General features: G+C 33.2%; 1 protein-coding gene across 15 annotated transcripts in view; it reads right to left on the bottom strand.

The window, feature by feature from the left end:
- ANO5 (anoctamin 5) overlaps window positions 1-15984 on the bottom strand; it is a 90885-nt gene that overhangs the window by 62568 nt on the left and 12333 nt on the right. For 4 of the 15 annotated variants that reach the window (NM_001441297.1, NM_001410963.1, NM_001441300.1 and 1 more), the window contains exon 3: window positions 9476-9526. The exons of 2 other annotated variants lie outside the window; for them this stretch is intronic. In NM_001441297.1, the coding sequence (NP_001428226.1) occupies window positions 9476-9526 (51 nt within the window). Of the gene's footprint in view, window positions 1-2502; window positions 2545-9475; window positions 9527-15984 lie in introns of all 15 variants that reach the window. 9 more of the 15 variants (XM_005252822.5, NM_001441294.1, NM_213599.3 and 6 more) reach the window with 3 other exon arrangements.

The raw sequence follows: 15984 nt of genomic DNA, 5'->3' as shown, positions 1-15984 counted from the left end.
ATCAAACAAGATATCACTTAGTCCACTAAATAATTCATGGCTACACACAACTTTGGGGGTATAATTAATTACAGACCAATTAATGGAGTCTCACTATAAGAAAATAAACTTATGATTAATGTTTATTCTATGTTTTTATAAAATTGTCACTTCCTAATTCAACTTTGTAAGGATTAAAATAAAATCAAGGTGCAGTTAAATATTATAAAGCAGGTAGCTTATTAGCTGGCATCACAAGTTAGGTTTCATGCAACTCGCCCTTCAACATCAATTTCCCAGGTGAGCAAAAATCAATCCTTTTTTAAATTTGCATGAATTATCTCAGTATAATAATTACACTTAACAAGTTCAACTTTCACGTGTTGTGTAGTTAGTTCATTAGTTCCTTCACTTTAAAAACAGCAAAAACATGAGAGAGCTTCAGAAGAAAGAGATTTCATGTTTGACTGATTTGGTTTTATTTAAAGTTTATATCTAATACTTAATATTCCTGCTAGCCTACATGTATTATTACACTTAGAATTATGCAAATAGATAATACAGTGGCTGTCAATTAGATAGTTTTCCAATTGCTTTAGCTCACCTGCGAATGAGTAACTATATGGTTTTAATTTTCACAACTAGTGTTTCTATTAATTCATGAGTTTCCTTTATTGTACCCTATGGGATTTTTTTACCCAAGTCAGGTGAGACAGGCCTCCCAGAAAAGGGAATGGATGAGGATCAGTTATATGCAAATAAGCCATAAGTCTCATGTTTGATCTGTGGTCTATGAACAAAGTAAGTGCATTTACATAGCTGATGCAAAGCTGATGTGTCTCAGAAAAAAAACTAGCTCCCAATGCACAGGAAGAAATGTGTGGAAAAGGGAACTAAGAATTAAAAAAAAAAAAAAAAATCTAGGGAACCTAGAGATTAAGTGCCAAGATACAGTAACTCAAATGTTATGTCTGAGTTCTCTTCACCTCAGCCAAAGGATGCATAATCATCTCCTATTTCCTAAAAGAAAGTAAAAGAACCTGAGAAAAATCAAACTGCTATCACACTATACTTTGATTATAAATCACTAAAACTTGAAAAGAAAGAAAAAACCCAAACAAATCATTGGCACTCTTATAAATCATCACAGCGTTAGCATCTTATGAAATTCACCAAAATTCTTGGAAGGCAACTGAGGCAGAAATAATATACTACTTAGACTAAATAAAATCAAAGCTCAAAAATTAAAAGAAAAAAATAGTCCTCTTTCTCTAAGTCTGTGACAGTCATATTTTGTATGATAGAGGGGTTTTTTGTTGTTTTTTGCTTTGTTTTCAAAAACTAATATATTTACAGGTACTTGTATTGTTTACATAAGCTAAATCTGGGTACACAAAGAACAGTTCTGGTAACAGAACATGTGCACGTATGAATTAACAAAACTCATATTCAGAGTATTCGACAGCAAGAAAACAGACAAAGTAGCTAAGAGAATAGTAATTCCAGTGATTTTCCGGAGTGCTCAGTCAAAAATAGGTATACATACTGTCCTTCTGAAAGCCAAAGGCTAGCTAGGAAAACACAAATTTCTATCATTATATCACACCCTGATGATACACTGTAAATCTGTTTTAAATATGGGAAAAAAATCACTGGGAGCCTTGTAAGTCAGCATGAGAGACATGTCTCAGGACTACTAATAAAAATCAGTTAAGGTTGAGGCAGAAAAATCTGATAATTCTGTCACATATAACTGAATGTTACTAACATACATCATGCTTTTGTTTTGCTCAAAACATAATATAAATATATTTTGTAGCATGTGTGTGCATTTGTTTATGTTTATATTTGATTTGTCCTTAGAATATCTATTTGTAATTATGTAAACATCTGAGTGGCTTCTCTGTAAAGGATGTACTTATTCTGTGGTTCAAACACCTGAATTACCAGCTGGGTGTGGTGGTTTATGCCTGTAATCCCAGCACTTTGAGAGTCCGAGGAGAGATGATTGCTTGAGCTCAGGAGTTCAAGACCAGCCTGGACAACATGGTGAAACCACTCATCTCTCCTAAAAATACAAAAATTAGCTGAGCATGGTGGTGTGCCCCTGTGGTCCCAGTTACTCAGAAGGCTGAGGTGGGAGGATTACCTGATCCAGGGAGGTTGAGGCTGCAGTGAGCTGTAATTGCACCACTGCACTCCAGCCTGGGCGACAGAGTAAGACTCTGTGTGAAAACAAAACAAAATAAAACCCTGCATTCCTGATGAGAGTTCATAAACCACTGAAACTGTATGAATTACGTGTATGTGTGAGAATGTGCATACATTTTAGGAAGAGGATCTATAGATTTAATCCAAATCCAGAACAAATTAAGAATCACTATTCTTAAACTTCAGTTGCCTGGGGACTAGGAATTAGTGACAATGTTCCCCCAAATCAAAGTATTCATTAGAAGAAAAATAACTAAGGCTACCACTGCAGCCATTCAGAGCATAAGCAGCATCATTCAGCACTGGTTTTACCATAAGCCGCCGCCTCAGGAACAAATTGAATCGCTTTGCAGGCTGTGAAGCAACCAATAAAGAATTAGCACTTCCTGCCCAGAATTACAGTAAAGATTCCAAAAAAAAGACAAAGACAAACTAACCCTTGGTATGATCATTTTATAAGTGTGTGTGTGTGTGTGTGTGTGTGATATTTCAAACTGGAGGATACAAATTAGCAAGGAAAAAAAGAAGAAAAATGGGAAGAAAGCAATAAACAGGTAAAGAAAATAAGGAGACTCAAGTAAATTTTCCTAAATTCTTTAAATAGTGACTAAAAATAATAAATATTTGTGGATTTATATTTTATTTTATTTATTTCTACTTTTTTTTAAGTTCAGGAGTACATGTGCAGGAAGTGCAGATTTGTTACATAAGGAAATATGTGTCATGGGGATTGGTTGTACAGATTATTTCATCACCCAGTTATTAAGCATAGTACCCAGTCGTTATTTTTCCTGCTTCTCTCCCTCCTCCCATCCTCCACCCTCCAAAAGATCCCATTTGTTATTTCCTTCTATGAGTCCATGTGTTCTCATCATTTATCTCCCACTTATCAGTGAGAACATGCAGTATTTGGTTTTCTGTTTTTGTGTTAGTTTGCTAAGGATAATGGCCTCCAGCTACATCCATGTCCCTGCAAAGGATGTAATTAAGGAAGAGAAGAGAAAAATAATAATAATAAAGGAAAACATGAAAATAATAAAAATATAAAGTAAAATAGATATTTTGTTAAGTATGCCTGTATATATCAGGAAAAGAAATTAAAATTACCACATTTATACTGATATGATGTGTAGTATGGAAAGTTTACCCAGGTTTTTTTTTTAATTTAATGAGCATGCAATATAATAGAATACATAAAAAGTCATTCAGTTATTCAAATGCTCAGTTATCTCCAATCTTCAATTACATGGTCATTATTTAAAATACAGGGTCAATTACCTAAAAATATCTGGGATACTCAACTATATTTGAAAGAAAACCAAACCTATAGCATAAATGAGCAAGAATTGAGTGTATTTTATAGTGTAATGCATGGATAAATAATCCAATACAATTACTTAAACTAGTCTCTTCCTGGAATAGGCTGAAGAAGTCTAAGCAACTGGTGACTATTGGAGGGAAAATTCCTGCCCTGTAAACTAATGTCTTCTATATATAGACAGAGGAGTTAGTATTGCTGTTGTTTTAAAATACAAAAGATACAAGACAAATGTTGGTCATTACATAAAATATATTTTAACCTATATTATTCTGATGGCCTGAAATTTTTCATCTCAGTGTTTTTATTTTCTTGGTATCTTTCATGAGATTCACAGGTTACTATTTTTCTCAGATGTTTTCCCTAAATTCATTAAAGAATTGTTAAGAAAAATGAAAGACTCCCACACTAAAGGACCATGCAGGGCCACATTATGACTTCCATGGATCACAGACCTAAACATAAAAACTAAAACTATAAAACTGAAGAAAATCTTAGAAAATCTCCCCTACTTTGGTGTAGGCAAATATTTCTTAAATAGAACATAAAAAGAATGGATGATAAAAGATAAAATATGAGAAATTGAATTTATATACTTCTAAATGTGCTTTTCTAAAAACACTATGTAAACGAAAAGGCAAGCAACAAACTGGAAGAAAATGTTCACAATAAGTAAGGTTGACAATGGTCTCGCATCCAGAATACATAAACAACTCTTACAAGTCAATACAAAGATAATCAACTCATTTTTTTAAAATGCAGAAAAGATTTGAACAGTTCATAAAAGAGTATCTATGAAAGTCCAATATGCCCATGAAAAGATGGGCAACATCATTATTTAAAAAAGAAATGAGAATTGAAATCACAAGATACTACTACCTATCCACTAGAATTACTGAAATTAAAAAGCTATCAATATCAATATCAATATCAAATGTTGGTGAAGATGTACAGCAAAAAGAACTCTCGTACATTGCTGGCAGGAATAAAAAATGGTACAACCACTTTTAAAAATAGTGTGACAGTTTTACATAAAGTTACACCTATATTTTCCACATGACCCAGAAATTCTACTCCTAGGAAATTACCCAAGATTAATGAAAACATACATCTCTAAAAACACTTCTTACATGAATGTTCATAATAGCCTTATTCATAATGGTCTTGAAACTGAAAACTATCCAAATATCCATCAATGGATGAGTGGACAAATAAATTTCAGTATATCCATACAATGAAATATTACTGAGCAATAAAATAAACAATAATATCTCTAGTACAGATATATTCAGAAAGAATGAATTTATTAGTAATATTTGGAGTTTTGCATGAGTCTTAGAAACATTGTGACGAGCAAAAGCAGCAAGAAGCCATATACAAAATAGTGTATACTGTAAAATTCCATTTATATATTACATTAGAAAGAAAAACAAATCAGCGGTTGCTAGAATATGGTAGGAGGAAAACCGCTAAAGGGAAATTTTTGAGGTAATGGAAATTTTCTACATAAATTATAGTTTGTTAAAACTCATCAAACTACACACTTAAAATGGGTGCATTTTATTGTATTTAATGTAGAACCAATGAAGATGAAAACTTTTTTCATAAATTTCTGATGTGAGCAACGAAAAGAATATAATGCATGTTGTTGAGATGCGAAAGACTTCAGACAAGCAGTTTTTTTGCAGGGGAAGATAAAGAATTACATTTTGGACATATTAATCTTGAGATAGCTTTTAGACATCCATATGCATATGCTGAGAAAGCATTTGGATATTTAAAAGTGAAGTTGAGGAGAAAGGACTACACTTGAAACTCAAATTTGAGAATTGAGATGGCATATCAATTGTATTTAAAGCCATGAAACTGGATGAAATCACTAGGAGACTGAATTAATGACTGAATCATAAGGTGATAATATCTAAATACATGCACAGATCAATTATAAATACTGTGCTAATATGACACTAATTGCTTCTTGTCATTTTACTCAAAGACTCCTTCTGATTGGTTTGTGCCTGTGCCATATCAGTTATTAAATATTTGGAATATCATCCTTGAGGTGATCAAGGCCCATACTCCTTCAAAATCTGTTAATTGCATATCTGTCGTTATTTAAGCAACCTTTAGTGTGTCTTTTCAATTCCCATTCTTTGCTTACTAAACTCTAAATACTTACCAAACTATTCTGTCCAATCCCCTACAGTAGTCACTCTAAGATAGGTTCTCTTAAGCATAATAGTTTCCATCTTTCTGTATTTCATTTAGTGGCTTTAGTGACATTTCTATACTGACAATCTCTGTAATCATTTAGGTACTCATTCACTTTTCACTATTTTGTTTCAAATAGAATTTTAAATTGCATTATTAAATATTTATAAAATAATTGATATAGAGTTTCTGTCATAATAATCACAGTAGGAACCGCAAGACTCCATTTTTTTACCCAAAAACATATCCAGTGATATTACGTTGGATTATCCCAGCACATTCCCTCTCCACTCCTCTCTACCCTGCTTTTTGTCCTGTGCAGGTAACCAAAGAGCTCCCTTGACCTCTTGCTTCTCACGAATGATTGGAAAGAATAGATAGTGTTTTCCTTCCTAAGGTTGAATTCAGGAAGATTGTGTCCCCTCACCAAAGATCATTGAGCCTCTTGATAATGTCTATAGTATATGAGTTCTTCCTTCTGGGTTCCAGTAAGTTCTCCTTACCCTATTCCCTTCAGTTCTATGGATTTTAATAAATTCAAGATTACTACACCTATATATGCTGAGATTCCCTTACACCCCATCTTTGTAAAAAGTCTTTTTAAGAAGTCCTTCTCAAATTATCCTACACTGAGTAGGCCTAACAGGACCCTAATTTATACAGATTTTTCTTTTGTGATATTTCTATGATATATTTAAAAAAAACCAAACTTCCCTGGGTACACAGTTGATTCTAGGACTGAGGCAGGAAATGTACAAAATGAATTTGGAGCATCTAGTCAGAAAGAAGGAAAATACTCAAAACAAAACTAAACACAATAATAGGGGTATACCAAGGAAACACAGGAGTCAACTGAAAAGCTTCCAGCCAAGTGATGTGGCTTATGTCTTGTAATTCCAACCACTCAGGAAGCTGAGAAGGGAGGACTGCTTGAGCCCAGAAATTTGAGAGCAGCCTGACCAACACAGTGAGACCCAATTTCCAAAATAATAATAATAATGATAATAATTAGCTGGATGTGGTGGTGTACTCCTGTAATCTCAGGGAGGCCAAGGTGAGAGGATTACTTGGGCCAAGGAATCTAAGGCTGCAGTGAACTATGATCATGCCACTGGACTCCAGCCTGGGCAACAGAGCAAGATGCTGTCCCAAAACAAAACAAAACAAAACAAAACAAAAAACAAAACACCACTTCCAATAGCCAAAGCTAGAACAATTTGAGCAAGAAAATAAAGTAGTATTTGGTTTATAACATAAAGTATAAAATAAATATCCATAAGTACACACTGACAAAAAGAAAGGAAGAAAGATCTCCCCGACACACAAAACAATTCCAAATAATGGATTCACCTATAAGGAGGGAGAGCATAATCCCAATCCTTTTGTGTAGGCTGCAAATAGTGACTTTCATCTGAAGATTGCAGTATGGAAAGGGAGAAAAAAAAAAGAGTAACTTTACAGTGAATAAATCTGCTAAACATTACTTCAAGCCAGGTAATCAAGGTTAAAACATTAAGGGTGATTAAGTCATGTTGATAGAATATACCCTTGATATGACATGAAGATAACGACACTTCTATTATCTTCCTCCAAAAACATATAATCCAAGTCTAATCATAAAAAAAAAAATCAGGAAAGTCCCAATTTAAGGACATTCTACAAAATACCTGACCAGTACTCCTCAAAGCTGTGAAGGATATAAAAATCAAAAGAAGTACATGAAACTGTCCCAACCAAGAGGAGCCTGAGGAGACATGACTACTAAGTGCAATGCTGCATCCTCAATGAGATATTGGAATAGGAAAAGGATCTTAGGGGAAAACTAAGGAAATCTGGATAAAGCATGAACTTTATTTGATAATAATGCACCAATATAGGTTCATTAATTGTTACAAATGTACCATACTAATGTAAGATTCTAATAATAGGAGAAAATCAGTGTGGGGTATAAGAAACTCTGTTTAGATTTTATTTATAATAAATAGATTTATAATAAAATCTAAAACTATATTAAAATAAAGTATATTTTTAAAAAGAAGTCTACTGTTTAACAACTTACTGTTTAATCAAAGACAATGTCAACATAGTGAATCAAATATCATACATCATTTTAAAGTCACTTAGAATTTAAAAATTAAATTATATGTATTTAACATATTTGAGGAAAGTATCTGCAACTTCTGTACAGGCAAGGAGATAACAATAAATATATATAAAGAGCTCCAAAAAAATCAAGAGTAAAAAAAAAAACAAAACCTGACAGGAAATGGACAAGATATATGAACAGAGTGACATAGCAAAATAAATTTAAATGACCACTCAATGTAGAAAAAGATGAATATCTCACACATGTTGTGAGAAATGCAATTTTAAATGATACTAAGATACTGTGCCAAGTGAAATACCTCCCAATAGCCATTATCTATCTCAGTACCATGAGACAGGCAAGAATCTAAAAGCATAACAACACACTGCTGATAGGGTTGTGGGGAAACAGCCACTTTCACAGGTTTGTTACAAACACAAAAGGCAGGGGAATTTGGCAATATATGGGAAAATTACAAATTACTATATATACCTTTATTCTCTGATAAATGAATTCCATGCAGAAAAATAAAATGACCAAAATATTATAAGACTAATTCCCAAGGGTATTCATTTTAGCAACATTTGTAATAGCATTGGAAAAATAAACCAAACAAAAATGCTAACTATTATACAAAAAGACTGAGAGGACAAAGAAGAAAGATTTCTCTGAAAACACTTTGTTTCATATTTTCAACCTAAGACAGATTTACCTTCAAGCTAAGACAGATTTACCTTCAAGCTAATAAAGTCTAATCTTCAGGGCATCTTACTTGCATCTACCCCTTCCAAGGGTTTAGGAAGGACTCCAGCAATGTGTTCTCGTGGTAAAATATTTTCGTAAATGTTTTAAAGGAAAATATTTTTCCATATGTTTCTTAAAGAGTGATATCAAAATTGTATAAGCTTTAGGCTCATCTAAATGTTATTTGATCTGTGGATTTCAACTTTGGAATCATGTAAAATGCTTTATGTAGTAAAAAAAAAAAAGTAAAAATAAATTTAAAAAGAAAACAAAACATTTCAATTGTTTTAATTTGATCAATATCACAATCCTCATTCCAAAACACTAAAGATTAGTACTCTAGTGAAAAGCAAACTATCATCCTTGCTAAAATTATCAGTATAGGAATATAACTCTATTTCCCCATCTTCCCAAAAGGCATTTTTTACTTGCTAGGCAACTAATGAAAAGTTTCAGGTCCCCTTACCAACCTTTTAATTGATATTTAAGTTTGATTTTTAAATGAATTGTACTTTTTCATGATTATCCTCAGGCATGTACTTAAAGACAAGAAGAGTGATGCAGTGGAGAAAGAATACTGAACTAAGTAAGCCTCAGAAACTTGAGTGTAGTCAAGCATCAACCCCTTAAACATATCAATAACTTTGGTCAAGTCATTACACCTCTTAGACCCTTCATTTTCTCATAGAAAAAATAAAATCCAAGCAAAGTGTTATACTCAGTGCGTCATTCTCACTGATATGTCTGATGTGTTTTCCCCCCACCTAAAGAAACTGATTTTTTTTTTCTAAAGTAATATATTCTCAAATACCATGTATGAGAGCATGTCAAATAACTGAACTGGAAAAGAGTATCATCATTGCAGACTACAAAAAGATGCCCCATTTGTGTCCATGCAAGAAAGGATAGTACTGGTCGCTGCTTACCATTGTTTCTTCATTGATGAGAAAGCTGGTCTCTCTGCTGCTCAGGCTCTGCTAACAGTACCAGGGGAAGATATAATGCTATTATTAATAGTGCAGGTGGAGCAAAGGGTGCTTTTAAGTTTCAGTAACAACTCTGTAATCTCTATGCAGAAACACTTAATCTGGAACCACATTAAATCATATGCAAAACTGTGGGCATATATGTGTATGCATGTGCATGTGTGTTCATGTATGTGTGCTATGTATCTGTAAATGTGCCTGTGGGGCAGGGTGTGTTTGTCTGTGCAGTGAGGAAAGAGAGTGAGCTTCAGAGAGAATTAGTATTTGGGAGGTAGCTTTATCAAATCATAAAAGAAATCAGATACAAGAAGTGGTTAAGAACTACTACATTACTGAGAAATAACAAGGAGGTCTAATCTTTTTATGATGCTGCATCCTGAAGAGGACCAACAGGAAAGGCAGAATTAATTGGCTATTTTACGCCCTTCAACATTTGTTTGAAATCATTAAAGGGAATACCTTGGAAAATACACCATCAGGATTCTTAATAATTTGAATTTATAACCTCTTCAAAAAAAGCCATACATGTATAAAAATACACACAAACCACTTATAATTAACACAATAGGGATGCCTCCCTCTGTATATGGTGGATTCCCAATTCCTTAGGTTACACGATGGTCCACACACCACAGGACACAGACCTGAGATAACACCCAATGACTTCTCAGCAGTCTCTAGTGACAGGTACAATATAATACTATGGAGAGACATCAACCAACAGAAATGATCGGAAATTCATGTCCAGATTGTAATTCACTTACCTTGTTCTTGGAAAAATCACAATCAGTATCTCATTATGCCCAAATAATGCTGGGCAAATCAGTTTTCAAAATAGCAGATAAAATGTGTAACAGACATATTTACAACATACTCAAAGAGCACCTTGGAAATATACCTAATGCTACAAAAGTAAAGTAACAGAATGTGCCACAAAAGCAGTAATTTCTCTGTGTTCTTTAAAAGAGAATGAAAGATAATTTTGAAAATGTACAATTTTCATACCACTATATTTAATATAAATTACAAGATAATGCAATCTATTGTACTAAAGTAATACTGAAACCGGTGGGAAAAGTTGTGGGAAGACTGAGAATCTGTGAGTAAATACAGGCCTAAAATACAGTTATAATTAGAATCCACTTATATGTGATTATATCTACTTGTGGACCTTGAATGAATTCCACTAGCTCGTCTAAATACAACAGATAGCAAATGAAGTGAATGAGTATCTTGATCACTCAATTCTGAAATAGTAGCCTCTAAAAATATGCTGTGCAGCTACATTTCTGCTAAGACAATAAACAAATTTATTATAGTTTCATTTATATTGACTCCTGATAAGTTTTTCCAATTATCCTAGAGAAATGTTAGTTGTTTTGCTTACAGAAGCATAGAAGAAAACCATATATTCAAAAGCAACCAGGCTAGTCATTTTACAATCTCTCCTTTTAGGAAAAATCTTTGCTCTGATTTCCAATCAAAAGATGGGGTTATATCTTCACTTTGCAGAATGTAAAATAAAATAACTTAGATTACTTCTTCATTTTGCTGAGTATGTCATTGTCTCATTTCTTACTAAGAATAGTCTTAGGCAAAACGAGAATCCTTGATGTACTTCTAGACACAATTCTTAAAACAGCATTCTTAAAGAAATATTATACAGTGAATAAGGAGCTTTAGAATCAGATTACCTGTGTTCAGAATCCCAGCTCCAAAACATAGGAGACATAACAATAAAACAATTTATATAGTTTCAGTTTGCCTCATAACCTTTTTCTTCAATTATATAAACCCCATTAAATACATATGTAAAACTGATTACATTTGTAAACTTGAGCAAGTTAACCTCTCCAAACCATAAAGTCCATACAGTGAGATTAAATAATACATGGGAAGTTCTCCATAAATGTTGACTTTTTAAAATTAATGTTTGTTACTTTCTAGTGATCATGTAATAAATATATTAATCATGTCATGCATGTTTAATTCACATGCATTTTCTGATTTCCAACAAGACTGTAACAATGTCCAATGATGGACTCATACTAATTGTAAATCAGAGGTAAAACTAGAATAGCTTTTTAATATTTAAGCAATCATGAAAGCACAGAAGACCTTTTCAAACATAAAATAATTTTGAAATAATGAACCTACAATTCTTATACTTCTGTCTTGTAAAAGCCTAAAAACATTCATCATATCTATAAATTTGTTACTGGATAAAAATCCATTGATTCTAGTTCTGCCTCAATCCAATAGTTGAATGAATATGCTATAATACTTATTTTTTTTGAAAATTGCCTGCCTCCTGCCCATAGATGGGGTGAAAAAAATTGACTGCAATGTGTAGAGCCTGTTTTTATTGCATTTGAGTGTCAGAAAAAATATAATTTAGCATTGAGGAAAGTGAAATAAGTTGTATTCACTTTTTTTAACTTTTTATTTTGCAATAACTATAGCTTCACAGGAATTTGCCAAAATAATACACACAGATCCCATGTAACCCCTACCCAGTCTCCTCCAATGGTTATTTCCATCTTACATAACCACAGTAAAATATCATAATCAGGAAGCTGACATGAGTACAATGTCTCTGTATAGTTGGAGGTCATTTTGTCACGTGTGTACAATTGGGTAAGAGCCAGCCCTGTCAAGGTATAGAGCTATTCCATCCACAAGGATCTTCCTCATGCTACCCTTTTAAATTTATGTCCATTTTCCTTCCCCTCAACATCCATGTCCCTTAGAAATCACTAATTTGTTCTCCATCTGTATACTGTCATTTCAGAAGTGTCATAAAAATGGAATCATAACATATGTGTTCCTTTAAGATTTTTTTCCACTTAGCACAATGTCCTGGAGATCTATCCAAGTTGTGTTTATTAATAGTTTGTTCCTTTTTACTGATGGGTAGTTTTACATGATAAGGCTGTGCCACACTTTGTTTAACCATTCACCTGCTGTAGGACACTTAGGTTGTTTCCACTTTCGGCTACTACAAATAAAGCTGCTGTGAATATCTGTGTTTAGGTTTTGCGTATGAATATATGTTTACATTTCTGCTGGATAAATGCCCAAGAGTATGATTACCCAACTTACATGAAAATCATAATTTAGATTTTTAAGAAACTGCCCAACAGTTTTCCAGAGTGACTGTATCATTTTATGTTTCCCCCAGCATTGTGTGAGAGATCTAGTTTCTCTGCATCCTAACTAGTAAGTTGTATTGTCACTATTTTATATTTTAGCTCTTCTAATAGGCATATACTGACATCTCACTTTGATCTTATTTTGCATTTCTTAGTGGCTGGTGATATTGAAGATCTTTTCATATGCTTATTTGCCATCATATTTCCTCTTTAGTGAAAGATCTCAATATGTATTTTGCCCACTTTCTAACTGGGCATTTTTTCTTGTAAAATATTTAAATTTTATGGGTTCTTTATAAATCATAGATACAAGTACTTTGTCTGATACAGAATATGCAAATATTTATCCCAGTCTGTAGCCTGTCTGTTCATCATCATAACAGGATCTTTCAGGGAACAATAATTCTTACATTTGATAAACTCCAATTTATCAATGCTTTTCATTAATAATGTTTTTGTTTGCAGATATGACATAACTACAAACCCTTCACCAAGATCTAATTTCCAAACAGTTTGATCCATTTTTTCTTCAAAAAATTGTATAGTTTTACATTTTACATTTAGTCCATGATCAATGTTGAATTAATTTTGTATAAGTTATAAAATTAGGTTAAGTTCATAAGTTTGCCTATGAATATACAAATGCTCCAGCCTGTTTGTTCCATTGAACTGCTTTTGCACATTTGTCCAAAATCATTTGGCTGTACTTGTGTGAGGCTATTTCTGGGATCTCTATTCTGTTTCATTAATCTACATGCCTATCCTTCTCCAAATATCACACAGTCTTCATTAGACTGCAGCTAAAGAACAAGTCTTAAAATAACATAGAGGGTTTTCTCCCACTTTCTTCTTTTTTTCACAATCATTTTATCTCTTCTACTTCCTTTGTATTTCCATAAAATTTTCTGAATAATCTTGCCTATGTCTATGAAATGTCATACAGATATTTTAACTTATATACCAATTTGGGTTTCCACATTCTCATTACCAGTATATAGAAATATAACTAATTTCTATATAATTTTCTTATTTTTTACAACCTTCTTAAACTCAGTTCTAGGAAATTTTGTTTTTGTCTTTAATTTTGTAGATTTCTTGGGATTTTCTATGTACATCGTCATGTCACCTGGAAATGGGGAGAATTTTATTTGTCCCTTTCTGATCTGAATACCTTTTATTTTATTTTTTTGTCTTATTGCAAGAACTGTCAGTACTATATTTAATGAGAAGGGTAAGTGAGGACATTCTGATCTTACGAAGAAAGTGTTCAGTCTTTTATTATTAAATATACTGTTAGTGTAAGTGTTGTGTGGATGCTCCTTATCAGGTTAAAATAGTTCCTCTCTATTCTTGGTTTTCTGAGAGTTTGTGTTTATTTTTAATAAATGGAAGTTAAATTTTGACAATATTTTTTCTGATAAAAATCACATGATTTTTATTCTTTAGCCTTTGGTGAAGTATACCAATTGTTTTTCAAAAAATGAATGGAGACCAGGCACAGTAGCTCAAGCCTGTAATCTCAGCACCTAGGGAGGCCAAGGTAGGCGGATCACTTGAGGTCAGGAGTTCGAGACCAGCCTGACCAACGTGGTGAAGCCCCCATCTCTACTAAAATTATAAATATTAGCCAGGTGTGATGGCATACACCTGTAGTTCCAGCTACTCAGGAGAGGAAGGGGAATCACTTAAACCTGGGAGGTGGAGGTTGCAGTGAGCCAAGATCGTGCCACTGCACTCCAGCCTGGGTGACAGAGCAAGACTCTGTCCCTTTCCACACGCACACAAAAATGAATGGAGCCTTCCATCAATAGAGTAAACCCTACCTGGCCATGTTGCATAATTATTTTTATATTACTGAATTTTATTTGCTAATATTTTACTAAGGATTTTTGTATCTATGTACATGAGGGATCCAACTTTTAGGTTTTTTGTTTTCATTTTTTTTTAAACTGTCTGTCTCTTTTGGTATCAAAGTTACGTAGGGATCCGACATGAATTGAGAAGCATCTGTTTTTCTTCTATTTTCTGGAAGAGATTGTATAAAATTAATGTTAATTCTTCTTTAAACATTTGGTAGAATTCTCCAATGAGACCATTTAAGCCTGAAGAGGTCTTTCAGGGGAATTTAAAAATTACACATTCAGTTTACTTAGTAGCTACAGGGCTATTCAAATTATTGTTTTAACGTTGAGTGGATTATAGTAGTTTGTGCTTCTTGAAGAATTGGTCCGTTTCATCTTAGTTGTCAAATTTATGTGTGTAGAGTTGTTAGTAGTATTCCTTTATTATCTTTTTGGTATCTACAAATTCCATATTGATATGTCCTGCTTTATTCCCGATATTGGTTACATATGTCCCAGCGCAACTCCCTTTCTGCCAGTCTGGCTAAAGGTTTGTCAATTTTATGTATCTTTCCACAGCTTTTGGTTTCAATGATTTTTTCTAATACTTTCTGGTTTTCAATTGCTTTTATTATTATTTCCTTCTTCTACTTGCTTTGGGGTTGTTTTGCTCTACTTTCCTTTTATTTATTTTATTTTATTTTATTTTATTTTATTTTATTTTGAGACAGCCTGGGCCCAAGAGTCTACAGTTTTAAGAAATTCTTCATATAATTCTTATTCTTGTTTGTATATTGATCTGCAAACTACACTATAAAATCACTGTCCTATATGATCTTCATAGTTCCCTCTGGTTCTCATATTCTGTTTCTCTCAGCATTTAGGTCGCTGAACTTTTCTTTGTTAACTTTTAGTTTAAGTCCAGAGATACAAGTGCAGGTTTGTTGCATACATAAACTTATGTCATGTGGGCTTGTTGTACAGATTATTTCATCATCCAGGTATTAAGCCTAATACCCACTAGTTGTTTTTCCTGATCCTCTCCCTCCTCCCACCCTCCATCCTCCAAAAGGCCCCAGCGTGTGATGTTTCCCTCTATGTATCTGTGTGTTCTGATAATTTATCTCCAACTTATAAGTGAGAACATGGGGTATTTGGTTTTCTGTTCTTGTATTAGTTTGCTAAAGGTAATGGGCCTCCAACTCCATCCATGTTTCTGCCAAGGACATGATCTTGTCATTTTTATGGCTCCATAGTATTTTATGATATATATGTATCACATTTTCTTTATCCAATCTATCATTGATGGGCATTTAGGTTGATTCCATGTCTTTGCTATTGTGAATAGTGCTACAATGAACATATACATGCATGGGTCTTTAAAAAAGAATGATTTGTATTCCTTTGGGCATATACCCAGTAATGGGATTGCTGGGTCGAATGGTATTTCTATCTT

Source organism: Homo sapiens, chromosome 11, assembly GCF_000001405.40.
Source record: "Homo sapiens chromosome 11, GRCh38.p14 Primary Assembly".
NCBI lineage: Eukaryota > Metazoa > Chordata > Mammalia > Primates > Hominidae > Homo > Homo sapiens.
This window is presented reverse-complemented; position numbering and strand designations above follow the sequence as displayed.